This window comes from Homo sapiens, chromosome 14, assembly GCF_000001405.40.
Source record: "Homo sapiens chromosome 14, GRCh38.p14 Primary Assembly".
NCBI lineage: Eukaryota > Metazoa > Chordata > Mammalia > Primates > Hominidae > Homo > Homo sapiens.
The window spans coordinates 50591117-50611011 of NC_000014.9; the positions used below are offsets into that span (position 1 = coordinate 50591117).

Here is a 19895-nt window from a genome sequence, read left to right on the forward strand (position 1 = left end):
TAACAGTTACTACTTTTTAGGATCCTTGAAGTTGCACTTTTGAAAATTAATTTTGACCATTTGACATGAAGCTTAAAGTGGGGTAGCATCCTATAGCATGATCTTTGTTTCCCTTTCTTGTGATCAGAGTAGGCGAAATTATAACGATGATAGAACAGCAGATCAGCAAGTAACATCTGTATTTTGTTTCACTGCTACATAAAGTTTCTGTTACGTTGGATTACTAGTAAAAATTACTTATAATAGTAATCAGCTGTTAATATTTTTATTTTCTGTGGCATTCATGGCATGTGTAAGAAATTATCTAAAATAGTATTGATTAATAATGGTTTGCTTTAGTTCTTATATTAATATTATGGTAACCCTAATGACCTAGATGTTCTATAAAATATCAATAATGTACTCTTCTTGCCTGTAGGTTGCAGTGTTATTGATGGATACTCAGGGAACCTTTGATAGTCAGTCAACTTTGAGAGATTCAGCCACAGTATTTGCCCTTAGCACAATGATCAGCTCAATACAGGTATGAAATAAGCCCATTTTGATGATGTTTCTTTAACTAAAAATTATGAGTATATGTGTTTCTACATACATGTTATAATTAGATAAACAACAGAAATTGGGAATCATATATATTGTTTGACTCAATTAGCATACGAGTTCTCGTGATTTCTGTGAGAGTGGAATTGTTTTTGTTACTGTAGTTTAATTACTGACAAACTTTCAAATTGACTGCTTTGGTTAGAAAAGGTCATATTATCTTATTGGGATTTTTGTTGTTGTTGTTTAAAGCCTACAATAAACTCAGTAACATAAATCTTATATGCGTATACATTGAGACCATCTATTGTAAGTTATGTTTAATGAAACAGTGTTTATAAATATAAATTTTGTTCTACATAGCCAGTAGAAACATTTCTAAATGTAAAAACATTTACATGTGTTCATAGCTTTTAAAAACACCTTAATGTACATTTAGGAAAGTAAATAGCTTATATATAAAATTTATCTTTCTTTCCTTTCCTTTTTTCTTTCACTTTTTTAAAAGTCTTATTTTTGAGGTTATTGTGGGCTTTCTAAATTGTCCTGAAAATCCTTGTAGAGTTTTATTAGAACCATAGAATCCATAGCATAAAAGATTTTAAGACTATTTTTAGATATTTTCAATCCACTGGCAAAAGCAAAAAGAGAGTGGCCAAGGAACAGGGCAGATCAATAAAAAAAGGTAAGATAGCTTAAAAAGGCAGAAAAGGCAAAGCAGTTAGGATGAGTGAGTCAAGACTAAAATTACAAGCAAGCATAGAGAATGGAGCTAGTGAACCAGCAACAAGGGCGTCATATATGATTAGGACAACCAAGACAGGGTAAACAGAAGGAGGAAGGAAGACTGAATTTATTAAATAAAGGACTTTAAAGTAAAAGTCATAAAAAAAAAAGTCATGGTTATAACCTACTTAATCAACTTTTAAAAATTAACTTTTCTTTCAGTTGACAAATAAAAATTATATATATTGGCCAGGCACGGTGGCTCACGCCTGTAATCCCAGCACTTTGGGAGGCCGAGGCGGGCGGATCACGAGGTCAGGAGATCGAGACCATCCTGGCTAACACGGTGAAACCCCGTCTCTACTAAAAATACAAAAAATTAGCCGGGCATGGTGGCAGGCGCCTGTAGTCCCAGCTACTCGGGAGGCTGAGGCAGGAGAATGGCGTGAACCCAGGAGGCAGAGCACTTGCAGTGAGCCGAGATTGCGCCACTGCACTCCAACCTGGGTGACAGGGCGAGACTCCCGTCTCAAAAAAAAAAAAAAAAATATATATATATATATATGTGTGTGTGTGTGTGTGTAAATTATATATATATGTGTGTACATATATCTGTATATATATAATGTACAATATGATATTTTGAATACACACATTGTATAAGCCTTTAAAATACTGACTTAATCTAATTTATTGTAATTCACAGTGTAAGCCATACTTATACAAGCCTATTTAAACCAGATTGACTTTGCCTTATCAGTATTACTCATTATTTATATTTGACCTGAATACATTGAATATTTTCAGAGAAAAATCTGCTAATTCCTTAGTAATGACTTTTTTTAATTATGTGAGAAATGATGATCTGTTATTTAAATAAGTATACAGAGCATTCTTTTTATATCAGTACATAAATATATAAGCCTCCTTAACTTTTCTTTGAAGTTAATGATATTTATTTCCCTCAAAAAATGTCATCTTAATGCTGTTATCACATATATATATAAGGATGTGAGCATGATATTCAGAACCTAACTTCCATGTGATGAAACTCTGTATAGACATAAATAAAATGATTAATTGTGAAGAAGTCAACATGATTTTTCAAAACAAAATTTTCCATATGGCTTGCTGAGATTTAGATTGTTATTATTTTGTCTTGCTTGGAAGAATGAGTTTTTTTGACTAATTGCATAAATTAGGTTCATAAAATAATTTTAATATTCCATCTCCAGAGCAGGTGACTACTGTATTTCTGGAACCATTTTATAATCATTGTTCATTCCTTATTGTCTCTCAAGCTTATTTTACTTCTCTCTCAAGGTCTTACAAATATCATGTAAGCATGTACATAAGAGAGTCCATTTTGTGGTAACTGATATTTTTAAAAGTAGGGAATGATGAAGTAAGTGCTTAGGATGATGCCAGTTATCTTATCATTGTAATTTTATTTCTTTATCAAGGTATATAACTTATCCCAAAATGTCCAGGAGGATGATCTTCAGCACCTCCAGGTAACAATATTTATTTTCTTTTTTGTGTATCTGGTAGTCTTTGAAACATGTATAGCAGAACTTTGGGGAATGATTTCAAAACATAATCAGATTCTGATTCTGCTGTTTAAACAGGAACTATTGGCCCAATTAGCTGCCTGGTAATTACTGCCTGAGACTGGTTAATTTATAAAGGAAAGAGGTTTAATTGACTCACAGTTCAGCATGGCTGGAAAGGCCTCAGGAAATTTACAGTCATGGCCGAAGGCAAAGGGGAAGAAGGCACCTTCTTCACAAGGCAGCAGGAAGGAGAAATGCCAAGCGAAGTGGGAGGAGCCCCTTATAAAACCATCAGATCTGTGAGAACTCACTCACTATGGCGAGAACAGCGAGAACAGAGAACAGCGTGGGGGAAACAGCCTCCATGATTCAATTACCTTCACCTGGTCTCTCCCTTGACACGTGGGGATTATGGGGATTACAATTTAAGATGAGATTTGGGCGGGGACACAAAGCCTAACCATATCAATAAGTAACTACCTTTCTCCCTAATTTAACATCAAATTTAATATATTTTTTAGAAAAAGAGCCACATTGCAAGTCACAGACATTTAAAAAAAACACAGCTGAGGTGATAAGGTTCAATCTAGCCTCAGGAAAACTACAGAGCAATCACTGCTCCAAAAGGAGCAGAAACAAAGAAGCAGAGTTTCGGTTTACAACTGGCGACAGTACTGAGAAAGTTCCCAGGACTAAGGAGCACAACTCTCCAGGTTTATTATGCTCTGGGCACAGTATATGTTTCTCCTCTTTCGAATTCATTTCAAGATTCTCCAGGGCCGGGTGCAGTGGCTTACGCCTGTAATCCCAGCAGTTTAGGAGGCTGAGGCAGGTAGACTGCTTGAGCCCAGGAGTTTGAGACCAGCCTGGGCAACATGGTGAAACCCTATCTCTACCAAAAATACAAAAATTAGCCAGGCAGGCGTGGTGGCGCATGCCTGTGGTCCCAGCTATTCAGTAGGCTGAGGTAGGAGGATCACTTGAGCCAGGGAGGTCAAGGCTGCAGTGAGCAGAGATCATGCCACTGCACTCCAGCCTGCGTGACAGAGTGAGACCCTGTCTCAAAAAAAAAAAAAACAAAAAAGAAAAAAAAAAGAAAAAGAAAAAAGACAAAGAAAGGAAAAGGACTCTCCATTTCTTAAGCTAAATGCCTAATGCTTTTGTAGTAATCCAAGCCATTGTGCCATTAAATTTCCTTAGGCAACAGCTTTTGTAAATATATCCTACATAGTTTACAGCTCTCTGGTCTAATTTATGCAAGTTCTGCTTCTAAAGGTCATTTAGCATGTTTCCTTCTTCTGTTTTGTCCCCCACAAAAAAATTAACCCACATTCTAGATATAAAAAGTGTTCATTTTAAAATATGAAAGTGTTAATTTTAAAAATAAAATGGAAATTTTATTTTTAAATGTACTTTATGTCTTTCATTCTTAAATATCTAATTGCCATGGCTCTGCTTTACCTATCCAATGCTTATTTCCTAAAAATGATTATTAGAATCTTCTTAATGTAATATTCTGTTATACCTAGAGGGAAAAGTAAATGAAAGAAAGCCAAGAATTAAAACTTTGCAGGTGCTAAAGTTCTCTCTCTCTCTCTCTCTCTCTCTGTGTATGTGTGTGTGTGTAATTTTTTTTCTAGCTTTTCACTGAGTATGGCAGACTGGCAATGGAGGAAACATTCCTGAAGCCATTTCAGGTGAGCGAGTGTTAAATGATGGTAAATTCTTACTAGATTTTCCTGAAGACTGTAACCAGGTATATTAATTAGGGTCATGTTTCCTTCTCTTTTTATTTCATTGAGAAACCATTTTTGAACTATTTTATGCTATTTGATGCAATATAGAATGAGATGGAAATGAGGAAATCGAATTTTTAAGAATTATTTTTTAAAAAAGAGATGTGGAAATGAAAGATGAATTAGGCATTCTGGTTCCAGGCAAAATGTCAGCTTTTTTTTTTTCCTGAACTCAAAGTGACTCTCAAAGTGCTGGGATTACAGGTGTGAGCCCCTGGGCCCAGCCTCATTTATGTACAAAAATTAAACATCCAGCCATATCTTATGAGATGTATTAAACATAAGAATGTGTTCATTTGAAAATAAAAGGATGGAAAAAGATAGATCAGGCACATACTAAGTGAAGGAAAACAAGTGTCTATATTTTTGTGAGACTTCAAGTCTATAAGAATTATTTAGAATAGAGAAGTTCATAATAATAAAAGGTTATTTCACCAGGAAAATACAAGAATTCTAGTCAGGCATGGTAGCACATTCCTGTAATCCCAGCTACTCGGATAGCTGTGGTGGGAGGATCACTTGACCCCAAGAGTTTGAGTCCAGCCTGGGCAACATAGTGAGAGATGGTGTCTCTTAAAAAAAAAAAATTCTAAATTTGTATGACATATAGCCTCAAAATATATAAAGATCAATAGAACCATAAGAAGAAATAAGTAAATCCACTGAAACACAGCTCCTAACTATTGATAAGTCAAGTAAACAGAAAATGAGTAACAATACAGAAGATGTGAAACCTAGGGCTAACAAGCTTGCTTTATGGTACATGCATAGAATAGTGTAAGTAACAAAGAAAACACATTACTCTTAAGCATGCAAGGTGTATGTACAAAAGTTTACCACATATTAAGCCACAAAGCAGGTCTCCACAATTTTCGAAGGATTGAATTCATACTGACCTCATTCTGTCATCATAGGACAATTTAGTTAAAAGTTAGTAAGAAAGTGCTCATTTTAAAAAGCATATTTTGGAAATTTAAGCACACACTTCAAAAATAATTCATGGGTTAAGTTAAACTCATAATAGTTATATGAAAATACTGCAAATTGAGTGCTTGAAAGAAAACACACATATTGAACATTAAATGCTATCATGAAAATGGTACTTAGAGGGAAAAAAATATAGCCATAAAAGTTTTATATTAGAGAAGAAGAAAGGCAGAAAATTAGTGATAAGTACAAATTAAGAAGAAAAAGTAGGCTGGGCACATTGGCTCACACCTGTAATCCCAGCACTTTGGGAGGCTAAGGTGGGTGGATTGCTTGAGGTCAGGAGTTCAAGACCAGCCTGACCAATATGGTGAAACCCCGTCTCTACTAAAAATACAAAAATTAGCTGGGCATGGTGGCGGGCACCTGTAATTCCAGCTACTCCGGAGGCTGAGACAGGAGAATCACTTGAACCTGGGAGTGGAGGTTGCAGTGAGCCAAGATTGCACCATTGCACTCTAGCCTGGGCGACAGAGCAAGACTCTGTCTCAAAAAAACAAACAAAAAAAAAAAAAGAAAAAAGAAAAAAGAATAACAGACAAAACCTAATGAAAATAAGAAAGAACATTTATAAAAGCTATATGTCTCAGGATGGATCAATTTTAAAAACATAATGTGGATTGGAAAAAAGCTAGTTGCCAAAGACTATTTACAGTAGGATAGCATTTTTTATAAAGGTCCAAAATGAGCAAAACTAAACAATATGTTAAGAATATAAACACGTGTGATAAAACTATTTAAAAAGCAAAATTAAAGTAGTATTTACTACCGGAGAGGAGAAATGGGGATGTATCAGGAAGGGACACACAGGAAGCTTCAATGTTATTGGCATTTTCAATTATTTAAGCAGGTTTGTGGGTTCACAAGTATTTATTTTATTAATCTGCTTAATAGCATATATATATATGTTACATGCATTCTTTTGTAGGTATCATATTATGTGATAACATTTTTAAATTTTAAAAGGTCAATAGTGTTTATTTTTTTTCTTTTTGAGACGGAGTCTCACTCTGTCGCCCAGGCTGGAGTGCAGTGGTGCGATCTCGGCTCACTGCAAGCTCCACCTCTGGGATTCACGCCATTCTCCTGCCTCAGCCTCCCGAGTAGCTGAGACTACAGGTGCCCGCCACCACACCCAGCTAATTTTTTTGTGTTTTTAGTAGAGACAGGGTTTCACCATGTTAACCAGGATGGTCTTGATCTCCTGACCTCATGATCCATCCGTCTCGGCCTCCCAAAGTGCTGGGATTACAGGCGTGAGCCACCGCACCCGGCCAATAGCGTTTCTTAAAACCAGCAATTACAGCTAGCAAATATAAGTTTTAAAATATATATACCATTCACAATAGCAAAACAAAACAAAAATCTTTAGTAATTAGCCACCAAAATATAAAGACCTTTCTGGAGAAAAATTCAAAGGTCTATTAAAGACCATAGAGAAAAAATTGTATAAACCAAAGAGATATAATATGATCACAGATGGTATGATTTAATGTTGTGGAGAATTTCATTCTCAACAAATTAGTCAAACTCAGTGCAATTATAATTGAAATTACAATAGGATTTTTGTATATTTTCTACAACTCATATGGAAGAATTAAGTCTTGTTTTGATTTAAGAGTCAGGTTATTTTATTTTTATTTTTATTTTTTTTTGAGACGGAGTCTTGCTCTTGTTGTCCGGGATGGAATGCATGCAATGTCATGATCTCGGCTCACTACAACCTCTGCCTCCCGGGTTCAAGCGATTCTCCTGCTTCAGCCTCCCAAGTAGCTGGGATTACAGGTGCCCGCCATCATGCCCAGCTAATTTTGTTGTGCTTTTAGTAGAGATGGGGTTTCACCATGTTAGCCAGGATGGTCTCGAACTCCTGACCTCAGGTTATCTGCCCGCCTCGGCCTCCGAAAGTGCTGGGATTACAGGTGTGAGCCACTGTGCCCGGCCTTAAGTCAGTTTTTAAGAAGACGATCTGAATTAGAGGGCTCAATACACACTAAAAAGCCATAGCAATGAAAATGGTGAGGTCCTACACAGATACAAGAGCAAAGCTCAGTGGAACTAAACAGTTTAAATACACTCATATATATATGGGAGCCTGGTAGTCAATAGAGGTGGCATCATAAACTGGTGGGAAATAAATGGGTTAATAGTTGGGTTTGGAAAAACAAGTTCACTATTTGAAGAAAGAGCTGGATTTTTACTAAATACTGTAATAGAAGTAATCTCCAGATGGATCAAAGAACTAAATATGCAAGTTAAAACTATAAAGCTAATAGAAGAAAGTGCTGGAGAATATTTTTCTGAACTGAGGTGAAGAAACATTTATTAGACCCTCTAAAATAAACCATGTAGTAAAAAATTGATGCATATTACTACATCAAAATTAAGTATTTGTATTTATCAAATGACTTTATAATCAAAATGAACAGATTGGTAGAAGACATTGACAATGTCAAAGTCAACAAAAGATTACTAAGCAGAACATACAGGAAACTTTTGCAAGTAACCAAAACCTGGTTCCCAATCAGAAAACAGGCAAAGAATATTAATAGACAAGTCACAGAAAGGAAACCTGAATGGCTAATACATTTTTGAAGGGATGTCAAGTCTCACTGATAATTAGATAAATATTAAAACAACAATGAAATACCACTTTACACTCATTAAATAGGCAAAAAGTAGAACATGGAGATAATACCAATGAAAGCTAGGATTTGGGAAAATGGGAACACTCAGGCCCTATTGTTGAAAGTGCAGATTGGAGCAGCCATTCCATGGAGCAGAGGAAATATATAAGGATATTTATTGATAGAGTAATAGTAGCAGGAATTTGGAGACAACTTAGGTGTCCATCACTAGCAGAACAGATACATAAAAATATGGGGAAAAGCATACTCTGGAATACTTTGCAACATCTAAAGGCAATGAACCAAAAGTGCATAGAGTAGCATGAATAGAGTGTTAAAATTTGTACAGAAGTAAGCAGAAAAAAGTGTGAGATTTATAACATGATACTATTTATGCATATTATAATATATATTAAAGTGAATGTGGGTGGGAATGAATAGTTGAGGAATGGGAGTGAGGATCTGGGAAAAATATGATGAAGTAAAGTAGCATGGAGAGATGATGTATGCTGTGATGAAGGGGTATGAATTCTCCTGAGGGCTCAGGAACCTGGTGTGGGGAGGAGGTGAGGTAGAATAAAACCAGCCTTGCTTGCAGTCTTCTATATGATTTACAATATGTACTAGACTCTGTTGTCTTTTTTTTTTTTTATCATTTGTTAGGTTGATCGTTGAAGTGCTATATGGTAATTAGGCTATTGTTTTGATTTTCTTCTCTAACTTGTTACTCAGAACCACTGGCAAACCAGAGTAGGGAACTCCATTGTAAATTACAGAAAGGGACTTTAGGTCTTACCAGCAGATGTCACTGCTCCTTACATTTTGCCAGAAACATTAAAACTGGAAAAGACCAATCAATGCTCCAATAAAACAGATGAGAGATAAAGATTGATAGAGTTGCGGCTTTTGGTTAAAAAAAAAAAAAAGAGTTGAAAACAAACAATGAAAAAAACTTTAAGAGATTACCCTAGTTAGTAAACTGTTGACATTATGAAATGTCAGTGACAAGAAAAAAGTTTTCGCTGACTGAGTCAACAATGACTCCTAAACATGTTTGGACTTGTAACTCTTAACTACCTGAAATTGAAATGCGAAGCTCATTAAGTAGTAAAGGTGGCATCCAAAGTTATTTTATAGTATTTTAGATTAAAGCAACCAAATCCAAAACAAAAAATACATTATAAAATCAAAAGATAAAATGCAAATACATTCAAATTTCAAAACATATATGAGTTAAATAATTCAAATTTCAGTTAGAAAAAGCATAGCAAAAAATTGCAAAGTAAAATAACTTCTAAATGAAATTTCGATTTAGCAATCTTTTTTAGCAGGTCACTTCTATCCTCTTCTCTCTGATAAGTTAACAGCTTTATTCATTTGGGTAAAAGTGTGGGGAAATTTTAAACATTGCCTGAGAAAGTAAGGTGAGGGATAATGAAATTTTAAAAATAATTTTATATTAAAATTAAACTAAGGCCAGGTGTGGTGGCTCATGCCTGCAATTCCAGTACTTTGGGAGGAGGAGGCAGGAAAATTGCTTGGAGACCAGAAGTTTGAGATGAGCCTGAGCAACATAGTGAGACTCTATCTCTACAAAAAGTGAAAGAAAAAAAATCCACAAAGAACTACAGCGCCTGTAGTCCCAGCTATTTGGAGCGGGGCTGAAGTGGGAGGATCACTTGAGCCCTGGCGTTTGAGGCTGCAGTGAGCTATGATTGCACCGCTGCACTCCAGCCTGGGCAACAGAGTGAGACCGTATCTCAAAAAATAAATAAATAGACAAAATTAATTTAAACAAATTTAAAATAGAAGAATTCTTAACTCTGAAATACAGTACAATTATGAATAATAAACAGACCTATAATAAACAACAAATATGAAGACAATTAGCTGGGAAAATGAATAGCTGAATTAACATATTAACTTGATTCTTTAAAAAAACAATTTATATCAAGCTGTAATCAAGCAAACAAAAATATGTTCGTGTATTTAAAAACCATGGTTTAAAAGAGAGAATTAAAAGCTAAATGAATTCAGTTTAAAAGCAATATTGAAGTGCAAGTGTAACCAGTGGTGTGCTGGCAAAATGTTTAAAACTGGTTGGGGAGGAGGGAGGAGGTGAGCCTGATATATATTATTTGCTAATTTTTATGGTGTAAATACTTTTACCATGGCCAATTTCAAGCTACCATGACGTCAACCAACTTGCAAAAATTCCTCAAAATTTAACAACTGTTTTTTGCAACCTCTAATGAGCCAGCTCTAAACTATGTAGCACGCCCAGGAAGTATAATTCACATTAAGACATAGTATAGAGTTCTCTAAGTGACATTAGTTATTTTCTCACCTGTTTTGCTCACTATGAGCATTTGAATTTAAAGTATAAAAATCTGGCAGGAGCTACTTTATTAACATATCTATCTATAAAATAACTAGGTTCTTTATATTAGCTTCTTTACCTTAGGACTTCCAGTTTTTGTTGAGAATGACAATATTTTTCCATTAATTTAAACATGGCTGTATGTAATAACTGTGCAAGTTTTATTTGAGTAATAACACCCAGTTTGCTCTAAGAACCTAGTGAAAATGTCTTGTCACGTGCGATAGATTTGTGTCTATATTGGTATGTTATGAGTTTTTCTTTCTTGGTCATTTAGACTTGCATGAGCCACACCTGGCCCCACATTGTTCTGTATTGGGATGATCACATCCTTGGGGCAGGATCCCTACGACTAATTCTGGATATTTTTGATGTTGTCAGACATTATTTGAAGTTCACTCTAAATGCAGGCTGCTTATCAACACCAAGCAAGGCTGTCTTCCTCTAATGCTCTGCTAAATGACCAGCCGCCAGTTACTTGTTTCCCCAGGAAAGGCTCATTTTCCACTTGTATGACTCTGAGGAGCTCTGTGTGTGTGCTTGTCACTCTTGTCCTCTCAGTTCTGCTGGGCTGTGGTGGTGGAGAGGGTTTCCACTCCGTCATGTGCTAACAACAGTAAGCTTGTTATGGGGTCTATGCTAAAAACAGATCCCCCTTACTAAGAAGACCCTGTATTATACCTTTAAATGTACCCTTTGGCAATAGCAGCCCAGGAGTTTACGATTTAATCACTTCATGCCTTCTAATTATGTAGGCTATGAAGAAATAGAAACATTCCCCATTTACTAAAGTGTATTATAGTCTCAAGATTCACTTGAGTTCGTGTTTTAGATGTCAATACATTTCTCAGTGGCATTTCGACATGGTGGGTCTGTTTCTAGTAGGCCGGTCTGCAAAATCCTGTTTAATCTACAGCAAATTTAAATAGTGGTCACGAAGTTCCTGAGCCTTGGTTCCTTTAAGGCAGAGTCCTGAATATATTTGATGATTTCTGGACCTTTTTGAGGCCCAGAGCCCTGAGGTAGTTGGGAATTTTAGCAGGATTTAGGCTGTATGGCTCACAGAGAAGAGATGGGGCTGCAGCATATCTGTAGCCTTGATGATTGATGCAGAAGCAGGTGTTTTAGGCACCTGGGTTAGAATCATTTCTGAGCCATGCCACAGTTCTGCTGAATTGGAATCCCTGTGTTTAGACCAGGGAATCTGCACTCTCTATGTCATTCTCAAGCACATATTTGAGGACAGATTTAGCCACTGGGCACACTCCAGCAGACAGCATCTATGGCAGAAGGTTCTGGTAGCAGAGAGATAGGGCACCATTTCTATGTACATTTCTGTGTACAGATAGTTAGTAGATTAAGGTTGGCCTGTAATAGGAAAGTAGGAAGCATAAACCCTAAAAAAAAACTTTCCTTCACACAAACTTGACTTCTCTTAGAAGGCTTATTTCTTTCTTGAGCATATATTTTAGGACTATTTACATTTATTATCTTCTCTTCCATGTCCTCAGTGTCAAGTACTTCACTTTCTGGAGTTAATTCAGCCCAGTTTTCACCTACAGCATGTTTATTAACCATTTTCATACACTTAAAAGCCCAGCAAGACCTTAGACCTTACACAGATATTCAAATTATCTTTGTGAGATAAAGGTAAAAACTCAATTCTTCACATTCCTTTCAGTGGAGATGTAATTATTAGTGAGCACATCAGTCTGTGCCAGTTTTAAGTTAAACTGAAGGTTGCTGAAAAATAATAGAAGGGGAAGCATATAATAATACTCTATTACATTAGGACAAGTACTGTTTCTCACCATTTCTTATTCAAATTGGGCCTACACAGGACAATTAGGAATTATTTTACTCTAGTTTGCTTAATTATGTTTGAGGACCCTTTATTCCCATGATTTGAGAATGTCCATTTGCACAAAAAATTCTTTGATAGTGATTTAAGCTACTTTGAAACAAAACATCTTTGGTCAAATATCTGTGATGATTATAACTGCCAAGTCATACCTGATAAATGCATGACCTCACTGAGAAAATGAAAGGCTGATGTCGGCCTGCTTGGGCTGAAAATTAAAGGAAATGATATGAAAAAAGACAGCTGAGGAAGTTATCTACCCTATCCCATGTTCTGTCGAGAGAGCAATTTAGGTGATCTGAGAGCTGTATGGATTAGAAGAAATGCTTATCTGGCTACATAGAACTAGGTCAGTGGTGTAGACTAGGATTCTCCCAATTTCTACATTTAGGTACCTGAAATGTCCAGAAGAGCAATAACAGCAATTTATTGCATGCTTATTTTGTGCCATGCACTGTGCTAAGCATTTTTCTTACATTATTCGAATTACTGATCATTACAGTTCTATAAAAAAACTAATGTTACCGCTCCTTCTTTATTCTCGTCTTTAATTTTTCTATCCAATGAGAAGTACTGAGGCTGAGAGTAGTTGAGAAACTTACTCTTGGTCACATATATCTTTAAATTGTAGAGCTGACCTCAACCTAGGCCACAGCTCAGAGCCCTTGCACTTAACTACCATCTTTTAGGGCTTCTCTTTGCTATCTTAATCTGAGCCACTTATTAAGCTGTATTTTATTGTCTTACATTTTAATGTGCCTATCCCCTCTCATTAATTAAATTATACATGACTTATGAGCAAGAACTTTGTCATTTACTTTTTGAAGTCTAGCGCACCTACCATGCTGTTCATAAAGCATGTGTACGATAAATGTTCACTAAGGGGGTAGTATATACATATTTGGGATTGTAAATAGTTTGCATATACAACTCGAAATTGGAAGACCTGGATTCAAGATCTGGAGCAAGTATTAGATATCCAGTATTGTCTCTTTATACTTTTAAGGTAAGAACTATATCCTTTATACTTTTAAGGTAAGAACTATATCCAAACAATATTAAGTCATAAGTTGACGTGAGAGTGTCCAAAATATTTATACTGGGCATGGCCCCTTCTTGAACTGGAGAAACACAATTATGAAATTCTCCTTCAATGGGTAAGGGTATAGAGTTGCTGCATTGAAAGTGTCACACTGATGGGTGGTTAATACAAAAAGAAAATACCATATTTCGTTAGTTAAGACTAACAGAAAAATGTTGGGTGTTTTCAGTTAGCAATAGTGATTGTACTGTATATGGTACCATCAAATTTAAAGGTGATCCTAGAGCATGGTCTGTAGATACTTCAAGTAATTAGATGAGGCTGTAACTGCTCTGAGGCAAGGAAGATAAGCCTTGGTTACTGGATCAAGCAATGGGCTACAAAAGGCACTGAGTCTTTGATGTTGTTGATTTAATACTTATCATGGATTTTCTTTTTAATAAAAAAGAAAGATTTATGATAATTTGGAAGGATTGATCTGCCCTCCTATTAGCTTGTCTCTAATTTTTCTGCCCATATCCTTGGAGAGTTTGTGCAAAGATTCTTCATTTTTTTTTTTGTAAATCATACGTATTATAGGTATTCTTAGCTGCTTTGGGACAGTGGTTCTTCCAGTGGATTTTCTGCCTGCAATATCCATAGACTTCCCTATCTATAGGTTCCTGATTCATAGAGAACAGAGGATATTTTGGTCTTGTTTTTATCTGAAGGACCACAAATTTGTCTTGATTTCTATTTTGCTAATTACCCAAGCCCTATGAAAAGTCAGTGATATACTAGAGATTTCTAAATTGACAATTTCTCATTCAACCTTTTTATTCTGAGTCTATATTTTATATCTGAGCCTCATATGTTTTTTCTTCAATATTCATATTTTATGTCTGAAAGTTTCCTGAAGTCAATTTTTAAAGTTTCCTGTTGATTCATCCCTATTTTATTTATAATTTAGAACCTTTGTCCAATTGATATTTAAGAGAAAGTCTTCCAAAATAGCCTTCTGTAATTTTTTTTATTTTTCTTGCCCCCTAAAGGCCACTAAATTGTTAAAATGTATTATCATTATGTTTTAATAAACAGCTGGATTATTTAAGTATTCTCCTGGTCTTTCTTATCCCACTGTTTTTAACCATTTTTTCCCACCTGAAGGTCTAACAATTAAGTGAACTAGTTGGAACAGAACTGATAGTTCAGGACAGTAAATATCTAACAAGTCTGCAACAGATTTTTTATCTTTCTGGGTTAAAAGAATTCCTTAACACTCAGCTCAAGACCAGGGTTTAAATTCAACTTCTGTAGAATAGCCTTCTGATCTAGCAGTTTTAAGTAGATTTGGGCAGTGTGCCCACTCCTTTCCTGTGAAAATTTCCGAGGAAAAAGTAGCTTGTTTAGAAGGTCAGGGGAAGGAGCAGAAGGAATTGAAGGGATGTATTGAGTGGTAAAAATAAAACTGAATGAAAAGAAATGCAAGGAGGGCAGGTTTCAGAAGGTTACAGTGTCAAATGTAGAGACTGCATTTTGGAGTCAGCATTTTATTTTGAGGCCTCAGTTTATTATTTGAAGCAGCTAACTAATGAGTGTTTGGTATTTGTCTCAATATTTAAAGAGCTCCTCTTAACTGTATTGTTTATTCTTACATGTCCAAAGTTCACCATAATGGCCACAGTTATTCTCATTTTTTAAAAGTATATTTACTATTATTGATACAAAAATTAGTGTTGTTTAATAGAAATAGGAAGCAGAAATTCTTCCAGGAGGAGCTTGCAGTTTTGATATAAACCTGTAACATAAAAGTTAATCAATAGTATGTGCTCATGAAAAGTGTTTTGGGTTCTTTAAGCAAGCAGAGGCTAGGACAGAGTTGTATGATCAATAATCTGACAATTACTGATTTTGTATTATGTGCTATACAAAGTGACTCACGCATTGAAAAGACAGAGAGTGTCCTCTTGAAGGTTTTGTAGGGAACCTAAGGCAGAATTTGATTAATTACTTTTGCATAAATTGGTTGCCAGCCTACCAGACTTCCAACCATTAGTCTTTGGGGCAGTGTGAATGGGACTGAAGACTTCTTAGGCCTATGCTTCCATCTGTTCTTTATAGAGGACTTTAGTATTCATTCAGTGATACAAAACAATTCAAGACAAAACAAAAACACGTGAGACAAGACTTTGTACAAATTGTCAAATAAAAGAAAGCAAAGCAAGCAGCAAAAGAATAAGCAGGCTAATGGCAAAAATATTCACTGAATGGTGTGCCCCCAAACCAAAAGTTCTAAGAACTTTATACAAAAATTAGGTCTTATTATTTATCAAGTGAATGTACTTCCAACACTAAAATTTGAATTACTCTATGCAAACACTTAGGACTAATGACCCTATATAAAGACCTATATGGTTACAAAATCCTAGGATAACAAATTAATTTAGCAACAAGAGCTCAATGAAGCAAATCAGAACTCAGAGTGTTGTTGAGACAGATTCACCTGGAAGCAAATTGAAGGACAAATGGAATTTGGGAACAAGGCAGAAAGAGAATGCACCTGTAAGTCTAAGAGTCACAGAGGATGCTGCCAAGTGAAGGCATTCAAAAATGGTACAATGAGACGTCCAGAATTGGCAAAGGATAAGACCATCTCTCAAAATATGACTTAAAAAAACAAAGCTAAACTTATTGCTTAGTGAACTATAGAGCTCTGCTGGTGAGGCATAGTCTCATTGAGCAAAGCCAACTGATGACCACATGTAGGCGTCAGGGGCGTGTTTTGGAGTTTTGTGGGTTATGGAAGCAAGATGGGTTGACATCAGTCTGAGAATATGTCTTTTGTTAAATGTGTTGGGTGTAGAGGTGAAAACAGTAAGTTTTCTGGAGTGAGTCTTTGACTACTTGACTGACTTTTAAAGCAATGAGGCTCTCTGTTGGCTTTTTGTGTGGGTTGTTGATTGAAGTAAGTGTTCCTTACTTTGGGTTTAAAACCAGTTCTGGTGTTTACCTTTACCTGAAACTGAAATTAGAAACTGATTACATGTATTAAAAACCAGTTCAGATATTTACTGGCTGTATGGTTTTAGAACATGTAGTCTTTCCCGGTGAGTGTAGGAATAATTTCATATATTTATAATGGATGTGCACATAAATTTACTGTTATTTTTCAGATAACATTTGTTTCATATAAGCTTTTTATACTGACATAGTCAACTCATGTGTTGATATATTCTACATACTTATTAATAGCTATGTGTCATATTAATGCACCATAGTTTATATAGCTATTTCTCAATTGTTGAGCATTTGGATTTATTTCAGTTTTTCACTGTTACCAAGTCATGCTGTAATACTCCTTTTGAATAATTTCCTGAAAGATATAGTCTCCAAAGGGACGCTAATAAAATTTGTCATGATTTTAAAAAGTTAGATGATTATTTCATTTGTAAGCTAAGTATAGTATAGGTCCATCATTTGACCCAGTTGCCTGGCTGAATTTAATTTAAAAAAGTGTTTGTGGCTTCATATGTTTTTATCTGAGCAAATTAGGCTAATTTGTATTCTTGGTTTTTATCTCTACCTATATTCATACGTGAGCAAATCAAGATTCTGCAGTGTAGAAAAACTGATGGATTTTGACATAAAGACTGAATTTCATAGAAATCCATACATGATGAATGAAAAGCATATAAATTATCTAGGGAGGGGTGGGGGACAGTAGGAATTGCTCATCCCCATTCATGAGAACCAATTATTAAATATTCAGGAATTATATAAACCAGTTATTAAACCTTTAATAGCTTGGAATCAGCCATGATGGGTATATTTACACCACAGAAATTGGCAAATGCTACAAATCAAGGCTTTTGTTTTTTTGTCAGAGAGCCAGTTTATCAGCACATCACTGGATGAGAGCATCAGGCAGGAAACCTGGGAGTTGGAACGTTGCCATTAATTTCATGATTACTTTACATATTGCTAATTTTAAAAAATGAAACTTTATATTTGCTTCTATACCACACATGGTCCTCATTATTTTGAATTGGGAAGATGGCCAGTGAAAAAGACCAAGAAATGAGACTAAAGCTCCCAAGAAAAATGCAAAATACAGCCAAATCCACATACTTGGTTTCATTTATCCTGGTTCATGAACCTCTATTTTGAAAAAATTACTTCCCAGCTAACATCTATTTTCAAAATACATGTTTTAGCAAGAAATGTTCAAAATACAAATTATTATATTTTGACAAAAATTGTGGCAAAAATGGACATCTATTTAAAGTTAGCAGACTACTTAAAGAGGGTGGATGTGGGTATTTTTAATTCTTTTCTCTACAAGAATCCCTCCTCTCCCCCACAAGAATCTACAAAACAAAATAAGAGGGAGGAGAGGCTCCATCTTATGGGAGCAAGAAAGATCCATAATCGCACGCCACTTAGAAGTGACCCTGTTTAAGGAAAAAAGATGTGATTCAAGGATTTGACATCCAGCAAAACTGACTTTCAGGCATAAAGGGCCACAACTATTATCAACATGTAAAAATCCAAGGAATATTGTTCCCATGACCCTTAATGCAAAATCTACTAAAGAATGAATTTCAGATCAGCAAAGATGACATAAGGACTAGGAGTGATCATTAAATGTATATTTGTTTGCGGAACTTAGACTAAATGCGGGACAAAAGGGAGAGAACATCATATGTAATCTCTATTTTCTTTAAATAAATGAATGAATAGATAAACTAAAAAGTAGGAGAATGAGGAGAGCATGTGCCAAATTAAAAAAAAACTTTCATTAAGTAGTCATAGTAGTTGATGGTGGTATTGGTACTGCTACTCTGCGGCTGTTGTGTATGTATTAGAGCATTGAAAAAATGAGTAATTATGGGATATCATAATTCAACCATCCCTGATGCATTAAGAATCAAGATTCTTGATTCAAGATTCTTGGACAAGGAGATATGGATATAATATAGACATTCAGTGGAAACTCTATAGTCCTGAATTTGAATTGGGAATGTCAATATGAATTTATGAGGTATTTTATCATACACACACACCACACACAATTTTATTCTAGCTCTGCCCACTGAAAGGTCTAGAAACACTGACCAACGCAGCAGCACTTTGAGCATTATAATCTTGAAGAACCATATTCTACTAAAAGAAACCAGTGCTTCTTAGAAAAATGCCCGTTCTAGGTCTAAGGTAGGAAATGAACTTGGAACACCTTTGGGGGAAAGAAAACTGTTATAAAGTTATGTTAGTTATTTTTCTGGATTTTTTTTGTTCGTGATACTAGCCAGTTTTTTGAATTTGTAATTTATATTCCTCATTCTAAATAAATATTCACTTTCAAGCCTAATTCTGCATTCTTTTTCTTACAGAGGTTTTCCTCTGCCCCACTCTGCCCCACAGATTATGTAAGCTTCAGGCCCCATAAAACCTGGATTCACACCCGCCTCTCTACCACATACGCATAATGAGAGCCCCTTAAGAAGAAAATGAAACAAATGAGGAAACAATAAATGTAATAGAGGAAAAATATTTAAAGAGATGAGAGAAAAAACTTTTCTCGAATAAAACTTGAATCTTCATACTATTTCCCTAGGGAAAACTGATACATTCCAGTCAATATGAGAAAATACTTAGTAAAGTTATTGAACTTTTAAGAAGAAAGGATCCACACAGAGTTTTCCATAGCAATATTCCATGGAAAAAGACAGATGAATGATAATTGACAAGGTTTTGAAAGAATCACCCTAAGAATTTTTATATCCTGCCAATTTGTTAATTAACTATGAAAGCAACAGAAGATATGCTCAAGAATGTGAGTACTCAGGAAATACAGCAATCCTAATACTGCTTCTTGGAAAACCATATGGCAAAATTTGGCCCACTTTTATTTTATTCAAAATAAGAGCTCAGGTATGGAGAAGTTGACAGTGAAAGGATTTTTGATGTAGTGAATCCAATTAAATATAACACTAAAGCCAAACAACTTTGAATATTGTGAGTACAGAGCAGAGTGTAAATATTTTAAACGCTGACATTGTGAAATTGATAATTAAAAAATGAGAAAATGATTTATTCAACAAATCTGTATTAAGCACTGATTCTGTGCCAAGCACTGTACTAGGTGTTAAGGATACTATAATGATCAAGAAAGAGATTCAAGTTTTGCCTCTAGAAGGCTTACAGTCTATAAATAATGCACCATAACATTATGGTTTGGAGTTATCTATTTCTTTTTCCGTCTAGTTCCCCTTCTAGCAATAGAACTCCTCTCTCCAATTCCCTCTGGTTCAGGTGAACCTGATGACATTCACCCCTTACATACAGGTGACAGTTCAGACCATCCCATCCCTCTGACCACAGTGATTATTTCTGGACTGGGCATA

At 35.4% G+C, this 19895-nt stretch overlaps 1 protein-coding gene across 4 annotated transcripts in view, besides 1 other annotated feature; it reads left to right on the plus strand.

Moving 5' to 3' along the window:
* ATL1 (atlastin GTPase 1) overlaps positions 1-19895 on the plus strand; it is a 99987-nt gene that overhangs the window by 58035 nt on the left and 22057 nt on the right. For all 4 annotated transcript variants that reach the window (XM_047431430.1, NM_001127713.1, NM_181598.4 and 1 more), the window contains 3 exons: positions 419-523; positions 2730-2780; positions 4460-4516. In XM_047431430.1, coding sequence (XP_047287386.1) covers positions 419-523; positions 2730-2780; positions 4460-4516 — 213 coding nt within the window. The remainder of the gene's footprint in view (positions 1-418; positions 524-2729; positions 2781-4459; positions 4517-19895) is intronic.
* Positions 16325-16374: an enhancer, noted in NCBI's record as "active region_8360". NCBI's record gives its function as "activates an Ori minimal core promoter by ATAC-STARR-seq in GM12878 lymphoblastoid cells {active_cell/tissue: GM12878}" and the evidence as "EXISTENCE:reporter gene assay evidence [ECO:0000049][PMID:35858748]".